At 39.4% G+C, this 25,650-nt stretch overlaps 1 protein-coding gene and 1 long non-coding RNA gene across 5 annotated transcripts in view, besides 3 other annotated features; one reads left to right on the top strand and one right to left on the bottom strand.

Annotated features, from left to right (window-relative positions):
- CROT (carnitine O-octanoyltransferase) overlaps positions 1–422 on the bottom strand; it is a 54,131-nt gene extending 53,709 nt beyond the window's left edge. For all 4 annotated transcript variants that reach the window (NM_001143935.2, NM_021151.4, XM_011516337.4 and 1 more), the window contains exon 1: positions 319–422. The gene's annotated coding sequence lies outside the window, so the exon portion shown is untranslated. The remainder of the gene's footprint in view (positions 1–318) is intronic.
- Positions 397–606: a silencer, noted in NCBI's record as "silent region_18346". NCBI's record gives its function as "represses an Ori minimal core promoter by ATAC-STARR-seq in GM12878 lymphoblastoid cells {active_cell/tissue: GM12878}" and the evidence as "EXISTENCE:reporter gene assay evidence [ECO:0000049][PMID:35858748]".
- TP53TG1 (TP53 target 1) lies at positions 594–20,739 on the top strand. Its single transcript, NR_015381.1, has 3 exons — positions 594–1,043; positions 4,402–4,563; positions 20,642–20,739. It is a non-coding gene; the product is annotated as a TP53 target 1 (long non-coding RNA).
- Positions 4,244–4,313: an enhancer, noted in NCBI's record as "active region_26231". NCBI's record gives its function as "activates an Ori minimal core promoter by ATAC-STARR-seq in GM12878 lymphoblastoid cells {active_cell/tissue: GM12878}" and the evidence as "EXISTENCE:reporter gene assay evidence [ECO:0000049][PMID:35858748]".
- Positions 15,107–16,306: an enhancer, noted in NCBI's record as "MED14-independent group 3 enhancer chr7:86959096-86960295 (GRCh37/hg19 assembly coordinates)". NCBI's record gives its function as "activates an origin of replication core promoter dependent on BRD2, BRD4, P300/CBP and CDK7 cofactors, and independent of MED14, by STARR-seq in HCT116 cells {active_cell/tissue: HCT116}" and the evidence as "EXISTENCE:reporter gene assay evidence [ECO:0000049][PMID:35650434]".
- Positions 20,740–25,650: the final 4,911 nt, after the last annotated feature.

Below are 25,650 nucleotides of genomic sequence, written 5' to 3'. Positions count from 1 at the left end.
GGCTGGGTAACAGGTTCGTCGCAGAGTGGCAAGGGGTAGAAGCAGGAGCAGAGGGCAATGAGAGCTCGGAGGCTCTTCCCACCAACCCAAGAGCAACTCTGCACTCAAGAGGCCATCAAGTGAGAGAAATCTAAGCACTACAACGGAGCAGCCCCGCGGCCCAACCTTGAGGGTACCCCTGAGACCCCAGCAGGCGAGATGCTTGATGACACTACTCCCCCACCAAATCCAGGCACCTTTGCGGTTCTGCACGACTTAACTTTCCCCCGCCCCCGAGTTGAAGGATTAGGGGAGGGAGGGAATGCTGCTTCAACGGACCTGTCCGTCCTCACCGCCCGCGCCTCGCCGCCTCTGCCGCAGCCTCAGCCTGCAGCAGCACCGGCTCGCTCCCCCTTGGGCCTCAAAGGTGCGGGAATTGGACTGAAGGCCGCTAGGGTCCCGCCCCGCATTCGCCGGGGAACAGGATTGGATAGAAAGCCGCGAGGGTCCCGCCCCTCACTTTCCGGGGAACGGGACTGGACGGACAGCTGCAAGGGTCCCGCCCCGTGCCTGACGTCGGGGGCGAGCCGGGCCTGCGCGGTAGTGGGACCCGACCCTGTCTCCAGTGGGCGTCTTGGGCCCCGGCTCTATTCTGGGCTGCGGGCCTGGGAAGGGCTCGCCGGGTGCCAAATGAGCTGTCCTAACTCTGCGGGGCTGCAGCTTCCTGCATGATGCTGGGGAGCTTGGCGCCTGACCCAGGATCTAGAAGGCACTCTGGGCAGGCCGCGCTCCGCCCACGAAGGTACCCAACCCTCTGGGATAGATGCAGGAAGCGATGGTTAAGACCCATTTTCACCCAACTTCTCGCCGCAGGTCTGGCTTACCACACGCTCCTCCCCATTCCCAGTGAGCCGCTTTTTGCAGCACCAGGCGAACACTTACACCAGTGCTTTGTAAAGGAATCTTATTGTCCACCCCGTGTCTTGGCAAAAGAACAGTGATCACACAGATTCCTACTTGGGCTCTTTCCTTTAATCTTCGGAGGCTGAGTTTGCCCAACTCAGGTATGCCGCAGCACACTACATCATCTCGGGTCTCCTTGCTCTTCTGCAGCTCTTCATTGCTACCCAAGTTATTTGAATACCCCAGGGATGCTTACCCCCGGGCCTATCTGATGTCTTTTACTGTTGTGCCAAGAAATGGAATCTTTAACCAGAGTGGAGCTACCCAAGTTCTAGAAGATCATAATGTGATTGACTTAGTTTCACAGATTAATTCATTTTGCTTTTACCTTCTGAAATAAAATATACTGTTTCATTTTTAATTTTAAATACACTGTTTCATTTTTTTGTGGAAGGAAAGACCAAATGTTTACACTGACTCTGAACTAGTTATCAAAGATAAAGATTTAGATTTCAAATTAACATGTCATGACAGGCCCCATTCCTTTGTCTGTCGTTTCTAACTCCTTTAGCAGTAAAGTTTGACCTGAAGGGAAGTGAGGCTATGTGTAACTGAATGTTCCCTTTGTGTAAATATTCATAAGTTTTCTACAGAAATATTGTGTTTGATTACAGTACAGCTTGCTGGAAGTGTTTCATAATATATGGCAGACGTACTATTCTAAGAAAAGTTCTGAATTTTGAAACATATCTAGCCAAAAAGATTTTAAATAAGGGATTAGGAATTTGTAGTTGTAATTTCTGAAGGTGTGATAAAGAACTTTTTCTTTCATATATAAGTGCGATGCTCTGGATGATGTTAAAGTTTGCTTACAAGATAAAGTTTTTAAATTGAGTAACTAAAAACTACTCAGAAACCTTCGTTGTATTTTTTTTCTCCTTTTTAGTGAGTCTTGGCATCTCTTTAAAAGTTTATGCATGTTTAATGCCTGTTGGTGCATAGAATTTAGAACCATTTCGCTTCACTCTTTTTCCTACTCTTGTTGTTTATTTCAATGGAAACAAGATGTTTCTGTAAAGATTCCTGAATTATCGGATAGACAAAAAGGTGTGGGAGTGAAAAAATGAATGGAACACAGATTTGAGTATGTAGAAAAAAATCTTTTAAAATATGTTATACTGATAAGCATATGTACCCCAAATCACCAAAAACAGGTATTTTAAAATATGTTTGGCTTCAAAATGTGTGATATATATTTTAATGAAAGATTCCAAATTATGTTGCATTCAGGTTAAACTTGAACGAGTTTGCATTTCTTAGAGTGGAGCGGGAGATATTGGCTGGTAAGGAAGATGTTTTAGGCACTTGAAGTATTTGTGATAGCAAGAAGTTGTTCCAAGATTAAAAATTGACTATGAGTCAAAGTAACTTTTTGGAGGAAAATTTGTAAGTAGTACAAGTGGTGATAATTTTTTAAGTTGCCATTAAAAAAATCTTTTATTTTTGTTCTTCTGTAGTTCTTACTCAGCATACCACAAATTGCAAAAGACTTTATAGATAAGTCTAGATAAATTTCACCATTAAAAAGTATTAAAATGCTAGACTAAGAAGTTCATGTTTCAATCTGCATAACTGGCTTCCTGCTAAGATTTGTGACTCTAATAAGTAAGGAGATATGGTAAATAGCCCTAATCTATGGGAGACCTGTAACCTCCTTTCATTCTGATGTATAAAATGAACATGTTGAAGAAATAATTTTGTGATGTTTCTTCTTTTTAATGGGGGGGCAGTAGAAATATGGTCATTTTGGGAAGCAGCCAACAGCAAATTAAAGTACACTGGACGCAAAGAGGGCAATGTAGCATTAAAAATGAACTCCACTGCCAACAGCAGATGAACAGTGTTTGATACAAAAGGTCTCTTTTTAGTACTAATCATTGATTTGGGGTTGCTTTTGATGATATTTACAGTACATGAAAAGTTGCCACCAAAATCTGAGGGGAAGAGTTAAGATAACTATGATGTTTTTGCATCTCAGAAAAAAATACCTTCTTACTAAACAAAATATAACATTTAAAAATTTTGTTAACATCTTTGTTGAAATATAATTTACATACCATAAAGTTCGGCCATTTAAAGTCCACAAATCAATGGTTTTACTATATTCACAGGGTTATGCAGTCACCATAAGCTAATTTTAGAACATTTGGTTCAAATATTTAAAAAGATTATTTTCTACATACTCAAATCTCTGTTCCACTCATTTTTTTCAGTCCCACAACTTTTTCTATATCCAAAAATCCAGGCATCTTTACAGGAACATTTTGTTTCCATTGAAATAAATAACAAGACTGGGAAAAGAGTGAAGCAAAGTGGCTCTAAATTCTGTGTTACCAACAGGCATTAAACATGATTCATCAACTGACTGATGAATGTATGAACCACTTTTTGTTTGTCCATTCATCAGTTCATGGACATTTGGGTTGTTTCTACCTTTTGTCTATTTAAATAATGGTACTATAAACATTTGTGTACAAGCTTTGTGTGAACAGGCTTTCAATTAGTATTTTAGGAGTGGAGTTGTGGGGTCGTATGTTAACTCTATGTTTAACATTTTCAAAAACCGTCAAACTGATTTCCAAAGGAACTGTACCGTTTTTACATATCTGCCAGCAATATGAGTTTCAATTTCTCTGTGCCTTTAGTTACAATAACAATATAACAGCCCTTGCTATTGTCTTTTAAAAAAAATACAGCCACTCTAATGAATGTGAAGTGGTGTCTTGTGGTTTTGATTTACATTTTTTTGTGAAGACTAAGAGTGTTGAGTATTTTTTCATGTGCTTATTGGCCATTTATATATCCTCTTTGGAGAAATGTTTATTAAGATCCTTTTCCCATTTTTTAATTAATGCACACATTTTAAAATTATATTAAAATTAGGCAATGGTCTGACCATAAAAAGGCTGCTTATGGAATACTGTTATGTTAAACTTCACTTACAGGATGCTAAATCCTTAGAACTGAGGTTTTCCCCAGAAAAAGATTAATGGAAACATCAGTTGCTTTTCAGACTTGATTCTGCTTCAAAAGATGATTTTACACAAATAATTTTAAAAAACTTTAGTACACAACGAATCACTTTTAGTTTGGTATGCATCCACATTTCAGCATTTAGTAGTGGTCCTGAACAGAAAGTGAAAAACACAGCAATTTTTCCAGGAGGTCAAGTCTGCCAATTTCAGGGATCTGCTGTGTACCCCAATTTCTTTCTTAATCCCTGCTGAGGATCTTGAGAAGCAGGAGCAGCACCAAAACCAAGGCATGCACTGGATCCAAGGTTCTTTTTGTTCCAGTTGTGAGATTCCAAACTAGACCCCAGTGGATTGCAAGGATGACCAAATGAGAGCCCTGCTTAAAACTTCTTCAATTTTTAAAAGCGAAAGCAATTACAAGAAAATGAAACAATGCAGAGGGATCATATGTGCTTTCAAGTGTCTTCATGTGCTCTTTCTCCAGGTTTAACCACCAAGGACTCTGAGAGCTGGCAGGTCTGAGTAACCCTGGTAACAATTCTCTTCACCTTATCAAAACCTGAGCTAAAACCAATGCATCAGCTGATGATGACAGCAGAGAGTGGCAGGGCTGAGGACCCAAAGTCATTTCCCAGGCTGGCGGAGAGTGAGTAAATGAGATTCTAAAACTAAACAAGGGAGGTCAGAGACTCTTTCCAACCTTACCTGATGGCTTCTGGCCAAAGCAAGGAAGTGTCTTGGAAGGTGTTGGTTGGTGATGGTGCGAAAAGACACTTGAGAAGGAGGGAAGAAAAAGCAGCGCCCCTTGATAAAGGTGGGGGAGAGAAGATATGGGGAAAGCCCTGAATTCCTCATCAAAGGCCAATCTCAGAGAGTAGCAGGGGGTTACAATCTATGCTTTGGCCAAGGGCGGGAGTGGAGGAGTGGGGGTTAGGATGATGGCTTGGAGCGGGCATCATTTAAGACTTAAAGAAACCATGGGTGCAGGCAAAGCACCCCACACACTAAGCAGTAGTCCCACAGGCTGCGACCTGAAACCTTCACATCTACTCTTAACAAGCCCCCATGGCTAGAGGGCTGTTGCAAGGGGAGAAGGCAGAGACCCCAGACCATGTAATCAACAGCAAGGTGATTGTGTGATGTGTCTTTTCCCATATTTAGGAGGGTGAGTTTTATGAATGACTTTAAATATTATGCACTTAATGGTTATGTTTATTACTTCGTACAAAATATTTCTGAGGCCAGGCACAGTGGCTTATGCCTGTAATCCCAGCACTTTGGGAGCCCAAGGTGGGTGGATCGCTTGAGCCCAGGAATTCGAGACCAGCCTGGGCAACATGGCAAAACCTTGTCTCTGCAAAAAATTTTTTAAAAATTAGCCTGGTATGGTGGTGCACACCAGTAGCCCAGCTATTTGGAAGGCTGATGTGGGAGGGTCACTTGAGCCTAGGAGGTCAAGGCTGCAGCAAGCCATGATCATGCCACTGCACTCCCACCTGGGTGACAGAGTGAAACTCAGTCTCAAAAATAATAGTAATGTTTGAGGAACCATTCAATTTAAGCAGGTACTAAAGAAGAAATTAAGGGCTCTTCCTTACTGAAAGTTTTTCCCTGAGAAATAGGAACTTGGCAACTTTATGCAAAACTTCAAATGACTTATTATTAGGTCAATAAAAATAAAATAATGTTGAAGCGCTAAGATTGTTAAAGAAGCTTAAAGATATTGTTATATTAGTGTTTACACAATAATGTGTCAACTTTTATTCAGCATTATCTCCTTGCTTTTTGAGGCAAATATATTTTGTATAAAGTTTTGAGAATGTCTGAGGTGTTTCCTGTACCTCTTCTGGGCTCTCAGTCTTATCTTGGTATATAAAACCATTCAGGCTTTAGGGGCATCGTTTTTTTCCAGATAGAATTTTCCAGATGAGCCTATAATATTCCGGAATAAATAACAAACCATTGTTTATAAAATTTAAAACAACCTTGATAAGCCTCAAGATTCCCTAGCAGGATCATTGCAATTCAGATAATTGGATGAGGCACGGTAACATACAGTGCTGAAGGGGAGGTCTAGAAACTTAATTCTGTTGCTAAAAGACATGTGGTCTTGGGCTAATCATTTAAACCCTACTAGTTAGACCTCAGCATTCTCTTGGAAATAAAATTATTGCTCTCTGTTCTCCAGAATCCCTACCTATTTTATAGCTCTCAGAAACTCCCAGTGAGCTTCACAAGGTATCTCCAAGCAGAGTTCAGTGTGGCATTGTCTCCTGCAGGGCAGAAATCCCATGAGAAAGTGGAGTAGTCATGACAAGTGTGTGATTTACAGTCCACCACAGGAAACTTGTAGGATTCCTTAGAAAACAAAGTGGGTTCCACCGTCTCTTGGGTCTGTTATTCCCTCTTAAGAAACCTTTCTTATTATTCTCCCTTTTTTCCTCTTCTTGGCCCTTCACTAGCAACCCAGGCCAACTACACAACCTGTTTCCTCAAAGATCGTTTCCACTGCCTGTCTTTTTCACAACCATTATGACCTCTTCACAGCTGCAGTTTCACCCTGAGGCCTTGTGCAACTGAAGTTGTCTAACCAGGACAGTTAACTGTGCCTGGGCAACTTGATACACTTAGCACAGGCTGCCTAATATTGTTTTCTTTTTAGCATTTTAACTACTTTGGACTCTGCTTTGGATTGCACAAGGTTCACTTCTTTTTCTTTTTGTTTAATAGAAGCTGTTGTGTGATTAGTTAAAGAGGTAAAAGGCTATACAAATAAGTATTTATTGAACACTGTTCCTTGCCCAGCATTATGTTAAATACAGATACAAATCAATAAGACAATTCTGAATTTTCCAGTTTTGTGTTTCCATGGATATTACAACTCATAGAAGGTTAGAGTCCTTAGGTATACTTCATTGTATTTTATGGTGAAGCAAGGATACTGTGAAAAATAATCATAAACTGTCCAAGTATGTAACTTCTATACACAGTGCATTTGACATTCTGCTTGTATAAATATAAGTACTGCACTTATGTATCTTTTCATTACTTACACTGTTCTCAATGCTATCCCTTGCATTAATATTTGCTTTTGAATAAAAATCCAACATATGGCACATATCATTTTATTAGACATACATTGTGTGTCTCTAAGACAATGCCAAGCCAAAATGGATGCAGCTTGAATTGTTATGTGTTAAAAAAGCACACTGGATAAGAGCTTTTACCTCTGAGTTATAAGAATATAGGATATTTTTATTTCTTTATACTCTCCTGCATTTTCCAATGGCCTAACATGAATAATAATAATTTTATATAAATATATATGTATCTATGTATACATATAATTGTATGTTTGTGAATATGTATATCCATATATCTAATGGACCTCAGGATATCATAAATTTCTGCATCCTGCCTTCAAAAGTGTTATGTGCCATTATCTCTATAAGAGGTCAATCATCAGAAGCCCAGTAATATTAAATGACTTATCAGGAATTATTTAAGCAGGAAGTGATGGAAGAGAGATCAGAACCAAGATTTATCTAACTACTAGTCTTGTACTTTTCCTGTTTAAATGCAAATGACAGGTGGAATTTGGGACTACCCTTTCCTCCAGCATTATAGATGTGTGCTGCTTACTTTAGGTTAAAACTAGCATTCCAGAACCTAAAGTGTGTAATCCAAGTTTGTGTGTTTGTGTGTCTACTGTCCTTAGTCAATTTAAACATTTTTATCTTTTTTTGTATACCGAAGAATGTCTTACAGAGTAAAATGCTTATATTAGACTCAGTAATAACACCTTAAAGAAAACTATAACAAAAAAACATTAGCAGTGGTTGCTTCTGGGTTATTGGGTAATATTTGTCTTCTCATTTACACTTTCGTATGTTTTTTCTTATTTTCTATAATGACTACTTCATAGTTTACCAAGTCATCAAAATTGATTTATTTATAAAAAGGATATTGATATTTCTGAGTTCATGCTTTTTTCTTTTCCTTTAAGTAAGGAAAAAGTTTTATTCAACAAAGCCAAATATATATATTTATGGTAAATATTTAACATTATATAGTGTTGCTTTTAAAAAAATTCTATCACAGACTCCTTTAATAATCTGTTGGAAGTTATGAAACCTTTCCTTAGAAAAATACAAATATATGTAAAGCCACAAAATGTTTTGAAGAATTTCTGGAGGTTCACAGACCCCTGAAGCTCATTCATTTAAACCTCCAGTATTGCTGAAAGGATGGGCTATGATTTTTATCAGAATACTTGGGATGTTTGTATTAAATGCAGATTTCCAGCATTGCCCCTGACTGCCTGAATTGGATGGGAGGAGTGGGGCCCAGGAATCTGCCCCCTTAATAAGATAGTCCTTCCCTACCCTCTAAGCAAATGGAATGCAAAGCAAGTGAGAAAATCTCAGGACCTACATGTCTAGAGAGCTCGTATTAAGAATCCTAAGTAAGAATAACACAAACTAAAATAATAGAGAATGTCCAGTGCCAGTCCTTGAAATTAGGATTCTGAGCAGGAGTTTGTTAGGTAGAGAATGGGAAAAGGGTGTGTCCAGCTGAGGAAAGGGCAGAGTTGAACAGGTGGAAGCATGGGCACAGTAGGAAGTATGGACTAATAACAAGTTGCCTGGGAACCAGAAATAATTAAATAAAGGCAGCTGGAAAGGTTCATGCTTAATCGCAGTCCTACAGGAATGGCATATAATAGTCATGAGGCCAAAAATAGTGATGCCAGACTCAGGTTTGTATTGTCTTGGGAAAATAATACTTAAAGCAGTCTCAGTAACATGTAGCTCTGTTAAGTTTCTCATTGTGAGAGTGGAATGGGATCCCATGGACAAGTATAGAAATAGTATTTACCTGGAGAAAAGATAGAGGCACTCATGAGAACTTTGGACTATTCCAGAATTATAAAATGTTAAAAATAGAAGAGACTTTATTTATTATCTCTTTCAACTTTCTCAATTAAAAAAGTAAAATTCTTTGGAGTTTATCAAATCTTGTTTATTACTATTTGAGTTGTTAATTCTGTAAAGTTGTTAATTCTGTAACAATACAGCCACCAAAAAGAACAAGATCATGTCCAAGATCATGTCCTTTGCAGGGACATGGATAGAGCTGGAGGCCATTATCCTTAGCAAACTAACACAGGAACAGAAAACCAAATACTGCATGTTCTCACTTATAAGTGGGAGCTAAATGATGAGAACATATGGACACATAGAGGGGAACAACACATACTGGGACCTTTTGGAGAATGGCGGGGGGTGGCAGGGGGAGGATCAGGAATAATAACTAATGATATTAGGCTTAATACCTGTGTGATGAAATAATCTCTACAACAAACCCACATGACACAAGTTTACCCATGTAACATACCTGAACATGTACCCCTGAACTTAAAATAAAAGCATAAAAAAGTTACTATAATGCATATTTCCTTATTTTATGGTTGAAATGGCAAATAATGATGTGATTTCCCTCCAGGTCACACACTGGCAGAGCTGAGTTTGGAAACAGTTTTATTACTTAATTGCTTCTTTTCAAAAACATTTTAGAGGCAGGGCCTTGCTCTGTCACCAGGCTAGAATGCAGTGGCACAAACATAGCTCACTGCAGCCTTGAACTTCTGGCTCAAGTGATCCTCTCACCTCAGCCTCTTGAGTAGCTAGGACTATAGGCATGTGCCACCATACCTAGTTAATTTAAAAAAAAATTGTAGAGACGTGGTCTACGTCATCCACACTGTTCTTGAATCCCTAGACTTAAGCAATCCTCCCACCTCAGCCTCCCAAGGAGCTGAGATTACTGGCATGAGCCACTATGTCTGGCTAGATTACTTCTTAAATTACACAATGCCCAACCCAGAACAGCAATAATTGTGTGTTTGTACATTGTACTATGTATCCATAAGCAATCTTTGTTCAGATGTATGACAGTGAGAATGAGCGTTGGGAAAGCTATAACAACAGGCGGAAGCCTAGTACCTGGCACCAGGAACCAGATAAACACCATGGTAGTGCTTTGGAACACCGAAATTTGGTAGCTCCTGAGGAAAAAAGGAGTAATAGTATACAGAACCATAAGTGTTTTCAGAAAATATGAAATCAATGAGTTGTATCATATTTGTGGTAAGTGAAACCTAGACTTTGGAAATGACATTCAGGCATTAGGAATATTAGTAGTTCTAGATAAATGTCACAAGCCCATAAGCAAGTGAAAGTTTTTGTCCTGGTTAAATACCCTAATATAGTACATTTTAATTTTCCTGTTTGTTCACCCATTCAACAATAATTACTGTTGCCATCATGGTACTAAGTGCAGGAAATAAATTAAGAGAATAAGACTGATATGCTTTCTAGTCTCATGGAACTCACAGGCTAGACAGGGAGATAGCCATTAAAAATTGAAATACACTAATTTAAAATCAAAATGTTTAACATGCTCTTCCATCTATTTCAAGGACACTTCCCACCATCTCCACCTGGCAACACTTATTTATCCTTCAGATCTCAGCTTATATATTATCTCTTTAGTCTTCCTTTACCACCAAATATAAATTAATATTTTATTTCACCTAACAAACATTTTTAAATGACTTTTACCCAAAAGAAAGGCAATAACCAATGCTGGCAAGGATGTGGAGAAAATGGAACTCTTGTACCTTGTTTGTGGGAATGTCAATTAGTACAGCCACAATGGAGAATAGTATGGAGGTTCCTCAAATTAAAAACAGAAATACCATATGATCCAGCAATCTCACTGCTAGGTATATACTCAAAAGAAAGGAAATCAGTATATCAAAGAGATGTCTGCATCCAATGTTTATTGCAGCACTATTCACAATAGCTAAGATTTGGAAGCAACTTAAATTGCTTCCTAAGTGCCCATCAACAGATGAATGGATTGAAAAATGTGGTACACAATGAAGTACTATTTAGCCATAAAAAAGAATAGGATCCCATCATCTGCAACAACACGGATGGAATTGGAATTGGAGGTCATTATGTTAAGGGAAATAAGCCTGGCACAGAAAGACAAACTTCCCATATTTTCACTTATTCATGGGAGCTGAAAATTATAACAGTTGAACTTATGGAGATAGAAAGTAGAAGGATGGTTATCAGAGGCAGGTAAGGGTAGTAGGGGTGAGGGAGTAGTGGGGATGGTTAATGGGTACAAACACAGATAGGATGAATAATATCTAGTATTTGATAACACAACAAGGTTACTACAGTCAACAAATAATATATCGTACATTAAAAAATAAGAGTATAATTGGAATGTTTGTAACACAAAAAAATGATAAATGCTTGAGGTGATGGATACCCCAGTTACCCCGATGTAATTTTTAGGCGTTGAATGCCTGTATCAAAATTTCTCATGTATGCTATAAATTATATGCACCTACCCACAAAAATTAAAAATAAAAAAATACGTACACAGTGGGAAAATATATATTTTCTAATGATATATAAAATAAGACAGGGGTCTCCAACCCCAAAGCCATGGACCAGTATCTGTCCATGGCCCATTAGGACCTTGGCCACACTGCAGGAGGTAAGCAGTGGAGCAAGTATTACTGCCTGAGCTCTGCCTCGTGGCAGAACAGTGGTTGTTTTAGATTCTTACAGGAGTGCAAACCCTATTGTGAACTGTGCATGCAAGGGGTCTAGGTTGTGCACTCCTTATGAGAGAGAATCTAATGCCTGATGATCTGAGGTGGAGCAGTTTCATCCTGAAACCATCCTCCCCAGCCCCGACCCATGGAAAAATTGTCTTCCACGAAACCAGTTCTTGGTTCCCACAAGGTTGAGGACCACTGAAATAAGGCTCTAATATCTAGAATATATGAAAAGAAACTCTTACAAATCAACAGCAAAAATACAAATAACCTGATTATAAAAATTGGCAAAGGACTTGAAAAGACATTTCTCTAAAGAAGATAGACAAATGTCCAACAAGCAGATGACAGATGAGCAATGTCATTTGTCACTAAGGGACTGCAAATCCAAACCACAATGAGATACTGCTTCATACCTAGGATGGGTATTAGAAAAAGTAAAGTAAGTGTTAGAGAGGATGGTCTAGTTATAGATGTGAAGAAATTGGAATCCTTATATATTGCTGGTGGGAAGTAAAATGGTGCAGCTTCTATGGAAAAAATGGGCAATTCCTCAAAATGTTAATGTAGAATGTATGGCCCAGCAATTCCACTCCTAGGTCTGTACACTCAAGGAATTCAACAGGCACTCATACAAATACTTGTACAGAAATATCCACTGCAGTACTAGTCACAATAGGCAACAGGTAGAAACAACCCAAATGACCATAAACAGATAGATAAACAAATTTTGGTATATCCATACAATGGAACATTATTGAGTCACAAAAGGGAGCAAAGTATTGATACATGCTACAACACGCATTTACCTTGTAAATAATACAATAAGTAAAAGAAGCCAAACTCAAAAAGTCACATTGTAAGATTCCATTTCTATGAAACATCTAAAGTAAGTAAATCCATAGGAACAGAAAACTGAGAGGAGGGTGGAATGGTGAGTGACTGCTAATGAGTATGCCGTTTCTTTCTGGATTAATTAAAATATTCCAGAATTAGATATTAGTGACTATTGGCCAAATTTGTGAATATATTTTTAAAACTACTGAATGTATAACCAAGAGGGTAAATGCTATGATGTGTAAATTATATCTTAATTTCATAATGAAAAAATATTAAATATAGGCATCTGCAAAATTTTTGTTTCTGTTTCTCACAACATTCTTATTTTTTAGTTTTAAAAATACAAGATAAAATAATTTCAAATTTAAACGGGCTAATTTCCAAACCCATATTTATAAACAATCTGAATTTATAGAAGGATGCAATTTCAACAGTAAATTTAATTTTATGGAAAAGAGAAAACTTTTAGGAGAATAAAAGGATGTTCAAAAAATAGAAAAAAAGCAGCCTACATATCTTAAAGAAAAAAGATAAGCCACATTTTACAGATTTTGAATCTGTAAAATACAGGTTTTGAATATTCTTGATTCGAGAGTTAACTAATTAATAAAAATTTTTTTGTTAATTTTTTTTGAGACAGTCTTGTTCTATTGCCCAGGCTCAAGTGCAGTGGCACCACATACCTCACTGTAGCCTCAAACTCCGTGGCCCCACCTGGGACCATACATATGCAAAACCACACACAGCTAATTTTATAAATTCATTTTTTTTTAAACTTGCTTGCAGGACAAAATAAAAATTTTAAAAATATATTTTTTGTAGAAACCAGGTTTCCCTATGTTGCCCAGGCTTGTCTCAAACTCCTGGGCCCAAGTGATCCTCCTGCCTCAGCTTCCCAGTGCTGGGATTACAGGTGTGAGCCACAGTGCCTGGCCTTAACAGAAATTTCTAAAACATCAAAAGATGCTTCTAAAACCAGTCATTCATGAGCAGTTTTGCTGAACCTTTAGAATCCATGTTGGAACAAATTTTCATTTCAAAAGGAAGTTTAAATATAGAAGCAGCCAAGTCATTTTACCAAATATTCGTCTGAAAGAGTATAGAAATCCTATTTCTAGGGAAGCAGAATACTGAACTTAAATAAACATTTGTGTTCCAAAGGGCAGTCATAACTTAATGATTCTCCTTAAATGATTAACAAGAACATTTAATTTAAAGTCAACCTGTTTACAACAGAGCCTTGAAATACATGGTTTTTTTTAACAGAACAGGGAAAAAATGTTCACATAAATACTAACCTGAGCTGCTATTACTGTCTGGCGATAGAACAGAATTCAAATGAGTTACCATTGGTAGCCTAGTGAATTATGTGAGAGAAAAAGTCCTCCCACATCTCCTGAAGAAGGGGAGCTTCAACAAACTTCACTAATTTGAATGAGAAAGACTAGAGAGATTTGTATCATTTATCTCCGTATATAACATTAATAGAAAAACACTAGCAACATATAGTCAGTTACTTGAAATAGCCTATTTCTGTAACCATCCAACAGGTTCTTTCTGCCCACCGCACAAACAAAATCAACTCACAGAGACCATGGCATTACAGTAAAGAAGGACTTTGATGCTGGCGATGCCACGTCAGAGACAGAGTTATTACTCAAATCAATCTCATTCAAGGCTTTTAGGTGAGGGCTTTTCAAAGGTAGTTTGGTGAGCAGGGGGCTAGGGTATAGGGAGTGCTGATTAGTTGGGTTGGAGATGAAATCATAGGGAGCAGAAGCTGTCCTTTTGCTCTGTGTCCCTTCTGAGTGGGGCCACAGGAGTAGTTGGCTGATCCAGGTGGAGCCACTTGTCGATAGACTTGCCAAAAATCCTGGAAAAAAAATCTCAAAAGGCCAAACTTAGGTTCTACAATAGTGATGTTCTCTGCAGGAATAATTGGGGAAGTTGCATATTTTGTGACCTCCAGAATAATGGCTGGTTTATGTCTACACCTTAGCAGAATTCAGGCACCTCTGTCCTCCTAGTCTGGTGTTCTCTCATTAGCTTTAAGGCAGTTGCATTTTGGAGAAGGGCTATTATCATTTAAACTATAAACTGAATGTCTCTCAAAGTTATCTTGACCTAAGCCCAGTAATAATTAAGGGCAGCTAAAAGTAAGTTGGGGGTTGGTTAAATCAGATCTCTTTCACTGCCATAATTTTCTCACTGCTATAATTTTTGCAAAAGTGGTTCATTTTGACTTTCATCTAATTATTGAGCCTTATATCATAAATATATTAAACATTAGTGATTTCTGACAGCATGATGATCATCAACATCTTGGTCCTCAAATATCAGTGAGACTAAATAATGCTTCAATCCTGTTGGTGTCACTGAGATTGAAGAAAGGAAGAAACCAGTCAGACAGGCAGTTAGGGGGGGTCCTTGGTTGAATTCTTTCACACAAAAGAACAGCCTGCAGGCTCAGATAAGGGAACTTACACAGGGGGGGCTTGCCTAAGACGTGCCCACAGCTGCACAGATAAGAAAGGCTAAACAGGTGACTTGCCCAGACAAGCCCACAATGGAAAATTCCATCCCCTAACACAGGCACAGTAAGGGGAACAAAGCAATATGGAGTAACTCAAGCTAAGGGCCCGCATGTGCACTAGGAGGACAGGGTGGAGCTACCAGAAATTCATGCCTTATGCAGATGAGATGTCCAGCTATCATCAGTTTCTTATAAAAGCCTTTGCATTCAACTGTAAAAACAGCAACCCTCTTCCAGGCCCCCTCTTGGTGGTGGAGAGCTTTCTTCTTTTGCTTATTAAACTTTTGCTCCAACCTCACCCTTTGTGTCCATGCTCGTTAATTCTCTTGATCCTGAGACAAAGAGTTCTGGGTGATACCTCACAGTGAGAGACTTCTACATTGTGGTGCATTGGCAAGACTAACATTTTGGTGCATTGGCTGGGAAAGGAAAGATCAGAAGAATGAGTAGGAGTGGACCTCCAACTCTACTTTCATTTCTGAGGCTTTTCACCCCATTTTAAAAAGTTAAACAAAACACTGGGCCCCTGTCAGCCAGTTAAAAGCTTTTAGAGTGGCTGCCAGCCTTACAAGACTCAGGGGACAGGCTTGCTTTAGAGGACTTTGTCAATCCCCGATTGCCCTCATGTGGTGGGAATGTTGGCTCTGTTCCAATCCAGTTTCCTTTCACAGAGGACCTAGCCATCTATGGGACTGGAAGTGAGAGACAGGACTAGCTGGATTTCCTAGGCCGACTAAGAATTCCTAAGTGTAGCTGGGGAAGGTGACCACACCCACCTTTAAACGTGGGTCTTGTAACTCAGCTCACACCCAACCAATCAGGTAGTAAAGAGAGCTCACTAAAATACCAATTAGGCTAAAAGCAGGAGGTAAAGAAATAATCAAATCATCTACCACCTGAGAGCATAGGGGAAAGGACAATGATCAGGATATAAACCCAGACATTCAAGCTGGATTGGGCAACCCCCTTTACATCCCCTCCCGTTGTATCAGAGCTCTCTCTGTTTTCACTCTATTAAATCTTGCAACTGCACATTCTTCTCGTCCGTGTTTGTTCCAGCTCAAGCTAAGCTATTGCTCACCGTCACAGGCTAGCCGCTGACTTCCACCCCTCTGGATCCAGCAGGGTGTCTGCTGCACTTCTGATCCAGTGAGACGCCCATTGCCACTCCCAACTGGGCTAGAGGCTCGCCATTGTTCCTGCACGGCTAAGTGCCCAGGTTTGTCCTAACACTAGTCGCTGGGTTCCATAGTTCTCTTCCGTGATCCATGGCTTCTAATAGAGCTATAACACTCACCACATGGCCCAAGGTTCCATTCTTTGGAATCTATGAGGCCAAGAACCCCAGGACAGAGAACAAAAGGCTTGCCACCATCTTGGGAGTGCCCCCCTCCATCTTGGGAGCGCCCCCCTCCATCTTGGGAGCTGCCCACCACCATCTTGGGAGCTCTAAGAACAAAGACCCCCCAAGTAACAGAAGGAGACCCTGGGGCAACTGAAGACATCTGGTTGGGGCTACACCTCGGTGTTACCTGAAGACCCCTGGATTAACTCTGGCCCCCAACAGCCCATCAGGGTATCGGCATCAGGACTTCCAGACTTTTCTATCGCATTTCCTTCCTTTCTTTTCATGGCTATCATATCTGCTATCCCTTCTTCGCATGCTGTGTTAAGGGACTTTTTAAAGCCTGGGGAGATAATCTTGTTGGGTAAAGTTAGCAAGTGCCTTAGTAACCAGGAATGTAACTCAAAAAAATTGCTGCTTCTGTGATTTCCTTGAGATGGGGGAATTTCAATATTTCAGTCTAGACTTTCACCTATTAAAGGCTTTCTTTTCCCCTAATAATAAGCATTCATGGCACTGTGTGGGAGGATATTTTACCCTGAGTGAATACCCTCCTCTCCATTTGGGTTGTTTTTTCTCAGTGTAAGAGCTCAGAACCGTCCAGTGAGTTTAAGCAGTTCCTTTATAAGACAAGTTAAGTTTTTCTTGCTAGGAGGCATATTATGGGGACAGCCTATTAAGCCCCAAACCTCTCTTTCTAACCTCTGCTTGGAAAGTCAGTTTTTCCCTAACATTTCAAACCCTACGGCACCACCTAGTGGGATGGGATTTTTCTCTGTGGGGAGCCTTGTCAGCCCTTTGCCCCGAAACTCTAGTTCCCTGATTCCTTTCCCTCTTACATCCCTCTCCCAGTAATCAGTCCCTATGGCCTATTTGTAATCAGAATAACTCCCCTTTCAGCAGCCAGGAGAAAGCTACTCTAGCAAGACAGATTTTAGCCTCAGTGCTAAAATCATCAGAGGGAGGATGGCCAGTCAATTCTTATGTTATTTTGAGGCATCTATTCTGCATCCAGCTATATTGGCATCTAAGTGAGAAAGGGATCTTATGTTTAGAAGTCAATTGGTCCCATTCTTTAGGAATTTATAACTTTGCCTGGGTGGTAGTAAGAGGATGTAAGGGATAGATTTAAGACACTCCCCCCTTTAAAGGGCCTTGCCCAAATTCAACTACCATACAGTCTCTTCTGAGCCCCTGGGGTACCCCCGGAGCCTTATGGGCCAACTGGATCTAGGAAATTAGCAGGGCAGAGAGCTAGGGTATCACACAGGTAAACATGGCTACTCCTGCTGACTAGCTCCTCCAGATCCATGGGTGAAGGTCATGCTTGCATCCATGCATGGCACCTATGATGGTTGCCAGGACCCAGAGGAGACAGGAGGGAAGAGGAGAATGGGGATGTCCTTTTTGTCTTTCTCGCCACTCTGGGTCACTCCGAAAGGAGGAAGGAGACTTCTTCTCCCCTCTTTCCTAGATAGGTAACAACCCATCTTCAAGCCTGCACTCCCCTTGAGTGCAGCCTGGATCTTCTTTAAACCTTAGACCCTACAGTTCACTCTGGGAAAGCCCCAACATCACTCACATATAGAGGCCTTCCAGGATTTATCCCAAGTATTTAAAGTCTCCTGGAAGGATGTGATGTACTCTTAAATCAAACCCTAACTGCTGCTGAGAAACAGGCAGCCCTACAGGTAGCAGAGAAATTCAGAGACAAACAGCTTGTCTCCTATAGCCAGTCAAAAAGGAAAGCCAGTCAAAAAGGGAAAGGTTGAGAAAGAGACAGAATCCCCATTCCTAGTAGGAAGAGAGGCAGTGTCTCTTAAACAACCTAATTGAGACCCCAGTGATACCTTAGATGAGTGCAAATTAAAACATTTTCAAATGTGCATATTAGAGGGCTTAGGGAGGACCAGAGCCAAGCCTCTTAATTACTCCAAACTTTCCATGATAGATCAATAACTAGATGAAAATCCCTTAGCCTTTTTGGAAAGGCTGAGAGAGTCTTTAGTGAAACACACCTCCCTGTCTCCTGATTCAATTGAGGGAAAAGGTAGAGAGAGGGGTATCTTAGAATGGAATGCAGGCTTGGGACTCCATAAGCTTGCAGTTCAATCTAGCCTGGTAAACTGGTCAGTTACAAGCTTTGCTGCAGGACTCCATCTTGTTTTACATTTTGACCTATAACCACATGGCAGTACTTTGTTTTAGACTCTGCCATTTTACAATGGCAGCCCAGGTTCAATCCTGGCTTGGGGAATGAATACTTGCAAGTTAATAGCTGTGTGACTTTTGCCATTTGCTCATTCTCTTCCCCTCCATGAACAACTTCTAGCTCCTTTCTTAAATCTTCCTTCTCTGAGTTTCCTTTAAAGGTTCTAGATTTTGTAAAAGTGTAACCACACAATGGGTTCACCCTGCCCGCTGCCTAGACAGAGCTGATTTATCAGGATGGGGAAATTGCAGTGGAGAGGGGGTGATTCATGTGGGACTGGCTGTGCAGGAGATGGAGTTCTGTTATTGCTTGGGTCTCTCTCCCTGAGAATTTGTGGAGCAGAGTTTTTGAGGATGGCTGGTTGATAGAGGGAGGCCAGTGAGCTGGGAGTGCTGATAGGTCAAATCAGAGATAAAATCACAGGGAGTTGAGGCTACCTTCTTGTGCTGAGTCAGTTCCTGGTTTGGGGTCACAAGATCAGATGAGCCAGTTTATCATTCTGAGTGGTGCCAGCTGATCCATCAAGTGCAGGGTCTGCAGAATATCTGAAATGCTGATCTTAGGAGCAGTTTAGGGAGGGTCAGAATCTGTGGCCTCTAGCTACATGACTCCTAACCCATAGTTTCTAATCTTGTGGCTGGTTTCTTGGTTCTACAAAAGCATTCTGGTCCCCCAGGCAAGAAGGAGGTTTGTTTTGGGAAAGGGCTATTATTGTTTTTGTTTTGGACTATAAACTATAAGTTCCTCCCAGAGTTGGTTCAGCCTATGCCCAGGAATGAACAAGGACAGCTGGGAGGCTAGACGCAAGATGGAGTTGGTTAGGTCAGATTTCTTTTACTATCTCAGTTACAATTTTGCAATGGTGGTTTCAAAAGCTGCTTACCACCCCTTTGAAAGTACCTTGTACACTCATGGTTAAATCATAACCTTAATTGAGGCTTCTTGATTTCACCTGTTAGGTTACTTTTGGTAAAGTTCAAAAACCAGAAATGTTAATTATTTGATGTGGCTAAAATTAGGTAACATGAGATTTAAAAGGATTTTCTTAAAGAGTGCTTAGCTTAATTAAAACTGGATATCCAATCTACAAGTATATGTACAAGGCCTTTATGTTTTTCTCTTCTTGGATCTTGTTTTTCTGGAACAGGTTTTTTTCTCAGTCAACTGAATTCTTTTTCTCCACTTTGTTTTGCCACTCTTAATGCATGCATGAGAGGCCCTAAGATAATTTCTGATGGCCTGGGACTCCTTGGGAAAAAAATGAAAAGGCACCACAGGTTCCATTTTGGGAGAAACCTCCATTTTCCTCATGAAACCGCAGGAATTAGAGGCAGGTAGATCCCTCTCAAAATCTGTTTTTGTCCTCCAGCATACCTGTTTATTAGACCCTAGAAACTGCATGCTTTCCTAGCCCTGCTCTTAAACAGCACCACCCAGAGGCCAATAATTCAATTAGGAGATTGATGAACAAAAATATCTGATAAATACTGGATCTGCTTCTGTTTGCTTGTGTAGTTATATATGTATTGTGTGTGATGCCTATAAAAAGAGCTCTAATTGATTGGCTTAAAGAAAAATAAGTGCTTAAATCAAATTTTTTAAAGGAAATATAAAAGCTGTAATGCCTTTTAGTTCACATAACTTTAATCTTTAAGAAATAAAAATAGTTTTAAAAATAATTGGTAAAATGCAGATGTCAAAATGTAAATAGGTGGCCTAAATCATGTAAGTCAGATACTAGGTTTGCTAAATGTTTCAAGGTTGTAAACTGCCTGCTTTACAAGTTGGTAAGGCCTGGGTACATACAAGATTAACCCCACCCCTAACTATGCTGGAAAAAGTCAGACCTTATCTGGGCCTAGTACATAATTAAAACAATGTACCAGTTTTACATTAAAGTTAAAAATTGCCAAGAGTTACCATTATAACATGTAAATGAGACTACGAAAAATAGATTTACATGAAAGGTGTGTAAGAACAGTAAAATGTGTTTGTGGTAAAAGATTGTAAAAAGATATAGAAATGTAAATCTTGCCTAGGGATAAAGGATTGTTTTAAAACCAATGTAAGAGTAAAATTTGGCTTTCTCTCCCTTGCACAAGATTTTCATGTAATAGTGAAGGATAATGAAAATTTTTTATTTGCCTTGCAGATAAACTGCCAGGGAGAAGAATGAGAAGACAGGAGACAAACTGTTTGGAAAGCTAAATCTTCCCTCTTAATGAATAAAGGTTTTTGCCTTGTCTTAAAGTTTCTGAGTCCTAATTTTGGCAAAATAAATAACTTATGGTAATCTGGAATTGTATTTTGTAATATTAAGTGTTTTGAACCTCTAACATTTACTTCCCAAAATCAAACTTCAGTTTCAAAATTGTCTCTCTTGACCCCTAGCTTTTGGATGCTACAGAAGGCCCCTGAAGCATCCAGAAGAGAGGTAAACAGGATTATTTAACATGTTTAGGTACATGGGATTGGCCAAATGGTGTTTAATGATCTTCAGGTTATATTTTAGTGAATAATATTAATATATTTTCCAAAATTGTATGGGATTTCTAAAATTCTAATGTCTGAGTATATGCTAGAAATCATAATTAAGGTTATTATGTTAAGTTATTGTAAAACACAGAAATAATAAAATTTGTCAGTCATGTTCTTGACTAACTACCTTGGACATTTCACCATTCAAAATCGTCTTGTTTTAATCCTCTTTAAAGGATGGTTTATAATCAGCTATAGGACTTTGACACATGCTCTCAAATGCAAGTTTCTGATAACTTTGGAGATTATGACATTGGAATAAAGGAAAAATGTACAGGACTCATGAAGAGCTAAAATATTCATGAATATCAAGCAAAACAAGAGTTAACAAAATGGACTTTTTAACCTTTTTGCTTAAAATGTTGCTGATCCTTATTTTGTTTTTCAGAGTCAAGGAAACTTATTTTAAGCTATTTATAGCCTCTAATAATTATGTAAGGTATACTTCTGTAAATAAAATTCAGAGCATATTTATTTGTTTCTCTCTGGTTCCTCTAGAACTTGGAAAGTATTTGTGAGTATTCTTAACTCATGGCAATATAATTATTTGCATCAGCACAATGAGAATCATTTTCTTTTACAAGAGGACACAATTGGAGAAACTGGTTGTTTTCTCAAGGTTTTGACTAAAGGCTGTGCTTCCCTTTAAGGAATCGAGCTTGACTTGCAGAGCCAATAAAAGCCCCTTGGGAAAACTGCCTCATACTTTGTCTACACAGCCCCCGAACAGGGTTCCTAACCTGTGGTGAGTAAAGAATATCACTTTCTACAGGCCCAGGAACACCATGTTCTTAGGACCTCAAGGAGAGAGGAATTCACCCAACTCATAGGTATTTGAGGGTACAAACCCATGGCTGGGCTCAGCTTTAAAAAGTTCTGAGATTCCTGTGGAACAGTTTCATCAAAGATAATATAAAAACCTATGTAAAAATAATTATTCTTGCTGTGCTTTGTACAAATAATCAGGCCAAGTATAAAACTAAAGTTGATTTTGCAAACAACTCAGTCCTATCATGATTTGTTTTTTTAACAAAAATGAGTAGAGACAGAAAAATTATGTTTCAAAACATATCATATGCTTGTCATTAATTCTAATCTCATTGATTGTTTTTAAGTTTTTGCCTACATTTTAAACTAATCCTGCTTATTCCTATAAGCCAACCAGCAATCTCTGGCTGCAGCTCAGAAAGTGCAAAAAGGGATGGGTGATGTACAAATCTGAATATTCTAGTTCTTGGCAATTATCCTACAAATCCTGTCAGGTGATGGGAGTAAATAGGGTACCCATAACCCAGAGGTTTCTTTGGGAAAATAAAACCAAGGAAGTTAACCAAAGCCAAGCCCCTTGCACTCAAATCTTAGTGGGCATAACTGTGGCCACCAGTTATCTGTACATGTCAGCAGCCTTGGGATTTTTAAGCTGTGCTTATCCCCTGCTTGTTTCCTCTAATAACCCAAATTGTTTCTTCTTGCCTAAAGACTATCAAACTCCAAATGGTAATGCAAATGAAACAATACATGGATATGCCTTTCTTCCAGGAATCCTTAGACCAGCCCCAGGAGAAACCCTAGCTGCTGTTCCCCATGCAGTGCCCCTTTCCAGTAGGAAGTAGCTAGAAGAATCATCACCCCATTCCCCCTAAGACCAGTTAGGGTCTCCACCCTTGAGGAGGGAAATAAGACAGGAGAAAGGAAGAAAGAGGTCAGGGAGGCAGTTAAAGTGGGTCATTGGTTGAATTCTTTCAAACAAAAGAACAGCCTGAAGGCACATATAAGGGAACTTGCACAGGGCGGCTTGCCTAAGACATGGCCACAGCCACACAGATAAGAAAGGCTTCACAGGTGACTTGTCCAGACATGCTCAGCAAAGTTCTGCCCCCCTCACACATACTTTGGGGAACAAAGCAATTTGGAGTACCTCAAGCTAAGGGCCCACATGTACACTAGGAGGACAGGGTGGAGCTAGCAGAAATTCATGCTTTATGCAGATGAAATGCCCAGCTATCCTCTTTTATAAAAGCTTTTGCATTCAACTGTAAAAATGGCAACTCTCTTCCAGGCCCCTTCTCAGTGGTGGAGAGCTTTCTTCTTTGCTTATTAAACTTTATTAAACTTTTGCTCCAACCTCACCCTTTGTGTCCATGCTTCTTAATTTTCTTAGTCCTGAGACAAAGAGCTCTGGGTGATACCTCAAAATGAGAGATTGCTACATTGTGGTGCACTGGCAAGACTGTAACATCCCTTAAAGGCAAAAAGAAAAAAAAATAAAGAAAAGAATGCAATTTTTCAAGAGAAGCAGTAAGAAAGAAGGATATGGAAGAGATGAAAATGAGTGGATGGAATGCCAGCAGCACTTTTCTTAAATGCCACTGAAGGGAAAATGCACAGAGAACCCCCACCTAGCAACTTTTAAGTATCCCCATTAAACCACTTTATGAAAAAACACCTCAAAAAACATACTTCAGAATATTAACAATGATGATTACTGAGTGGTAAAACCATGTGTGATTTCTTTCTTTCTACATTTTCATATTCTCCATGTTTTCAATAATAAGACATTTTATAAGTTAAAGCTATCAACAGATTGGGTAATTTTTTTCTTTTTTTTTATTTTGAGACAGAGTCTCACTCTGCCGCCCAGGCTGGAGTGCAGTGGTGCAATCTCGGATCACTGCAAGCTCCACCTCCTTGGTTCACGCCATTATCCTGCCTCAGACTCCCGAGTAGCTGGGACTGCAGGTGCCTGCCACCATGCCCAGCTAATTTTTTGTATTTTTCAGTAGAGAGAGGGTTTCACTGTGTTAGCCAGGATGGTCTTGATCTCCTGACCTCGTGATCTACCCATCTCGTCTTTTTTTAAATTATACATTAAGTTCTGGGGTACATGTGCAGGACGTGCAGGTTTGTTACATAGATATACACATGCCATGGTGGTTTGCTGTACCCATCAACCCATCATCTACATTAGGTATTTCTCCTAATGCTATCCCTGCCCTAGCCCCCCATCCCCCAACAGGCCCCAGTGTGTGATGTTCCCCTCCCTGTATCCATGTGTTCTCATTGTTCAACAACCACTTATGAGTGAGAACATGAGGTGTTTGGTTTTCTGTTCCTGTGTTAGTTTGCTGAGAATGATGGTTTCCAACTTCATCCATGTCCCTGCAAAGGACATGAACTCATCTGTTTTTATGGCTGCATAGTATTCCATGGTATATATGTGCCACATTTTCTTTATCCGGTCTATCATTGATGGGCATTTGGGTTGGTTCCAAGTCTTTGCTGTTATAAACAGTGCTGCAATAAACATACATGTGCATATGTCTTTAGAGTAGAATGATTTATAATCCTTTGCGTATAAACCCAGTAATGGGATTGCTGGGTCAAATGGTATTTCTGGTTCTACATCCTTGAGGAATTGCCACACTGTCTTCCACAATGGATTAACTAATTTACACTCCCACCAACAGTGTAAATGCATTCCTATTTCTCTATATCCTCTCCAGCATCTGTTGTTTCCTGACTTTTTAATGATTGCCATTCTAACTGGAGTGAGATGATATCTCATTGTGGTTTTGATTTACATTTCTCTAATGACCAGTGATGATGAGCTTCTTTTTATATGTTTGTTGGCTGCATAAAAGTCTTATTTTGAGAAGCGTCTGTTCATATCCTTCACCCATTTTTTGATGGTTTTTTTTTCTTGTAAATTTGTTTAAGTTCTTTGTAGATTCTGGATATTAGCCCTTTGTCAGATAAATAGATTGCAAACATTTTCTTCCATTCTGTAGGTTGCCTATTCACTCTGGTGATAGCTTCTTTTGCTGTGCAGAAGCTCTTTAGTTTAATTAGATCTCTTTTGTAAATTTTAGCTTTTGTTGCCATTGCTTTTAGTGTTTTAGTCATGAAGTCTTTGTCCCTGCCTATGTCCTGAATGGTATTGCCTAGGTTTTCTCCTAGGGTTTTTTATGGTTTTAGGTCTTATATTTAATTCTTTAATCCATCTTGAGTTAATTTGTATGTAAGGTGTAAGGAAAAGGTCCAGTTTCAATTTTCTGAATATGACTAGCCAGTTTTCCCAGCACAATTTATTAAATAGGGAATCCTTTCCCCATTGCTTGTTTTTGTCAAGTTTGTCAAAGATCAGATGGTTGAAGATGTGTGGTGTTATTTCTGAGGCCTCTGTTCTGTTCTATTGATATATATATTTGTTTTGGTACCAGTACCATGCTGTGTTGGTTACTGTAGCCTTGTAGTATAGTTTGCAGTCAGGTAGCATGATGCCTCCAGCTTTGTTCTTTTTGCTTAGGATTGTCTTGGCTCTGTGGGCCCTTTTTCAGTTCCATATGAAATTTAAAGTAGTTTTTTGTAATTCTGTGAAGAAAGTCAAGGTAGCTTGATGGGGATATAGCACTGAATCTATAAATTGCTTTGGGCAGTATGGCCATTTTCACAATATTGATTCTTCCTATCCATGAGCATGGAATGTTTTTCTATTTGTTTGTGTCCTCTTTTATTTCCTTGAACACTGGTTTGTAGTTCTGCTTGAATAGGTCCTTCACATCCCTTGAAAGTTGTATTCCTAGCTATTTTATTTTCTTTGTAGCAATTGTGAATGGGAGTTCA

This window comes from Homo sapiens, chromosome 7, assembly GCF_000001405.40.
Source record: "Homo sapiens chromosome 7, GRCh38.p14 Primary Assembly".
NCBI lineage: Eukaryota > Metazoa > Chordata > Mammalia > Primates > Hominidae > Homo > Homo sapiens.
The sequence above is the reverse complement of the archived record's forward strand: the minus strand, read 5'-3'. Positions and strand labels throughout refer to the sequence as shown.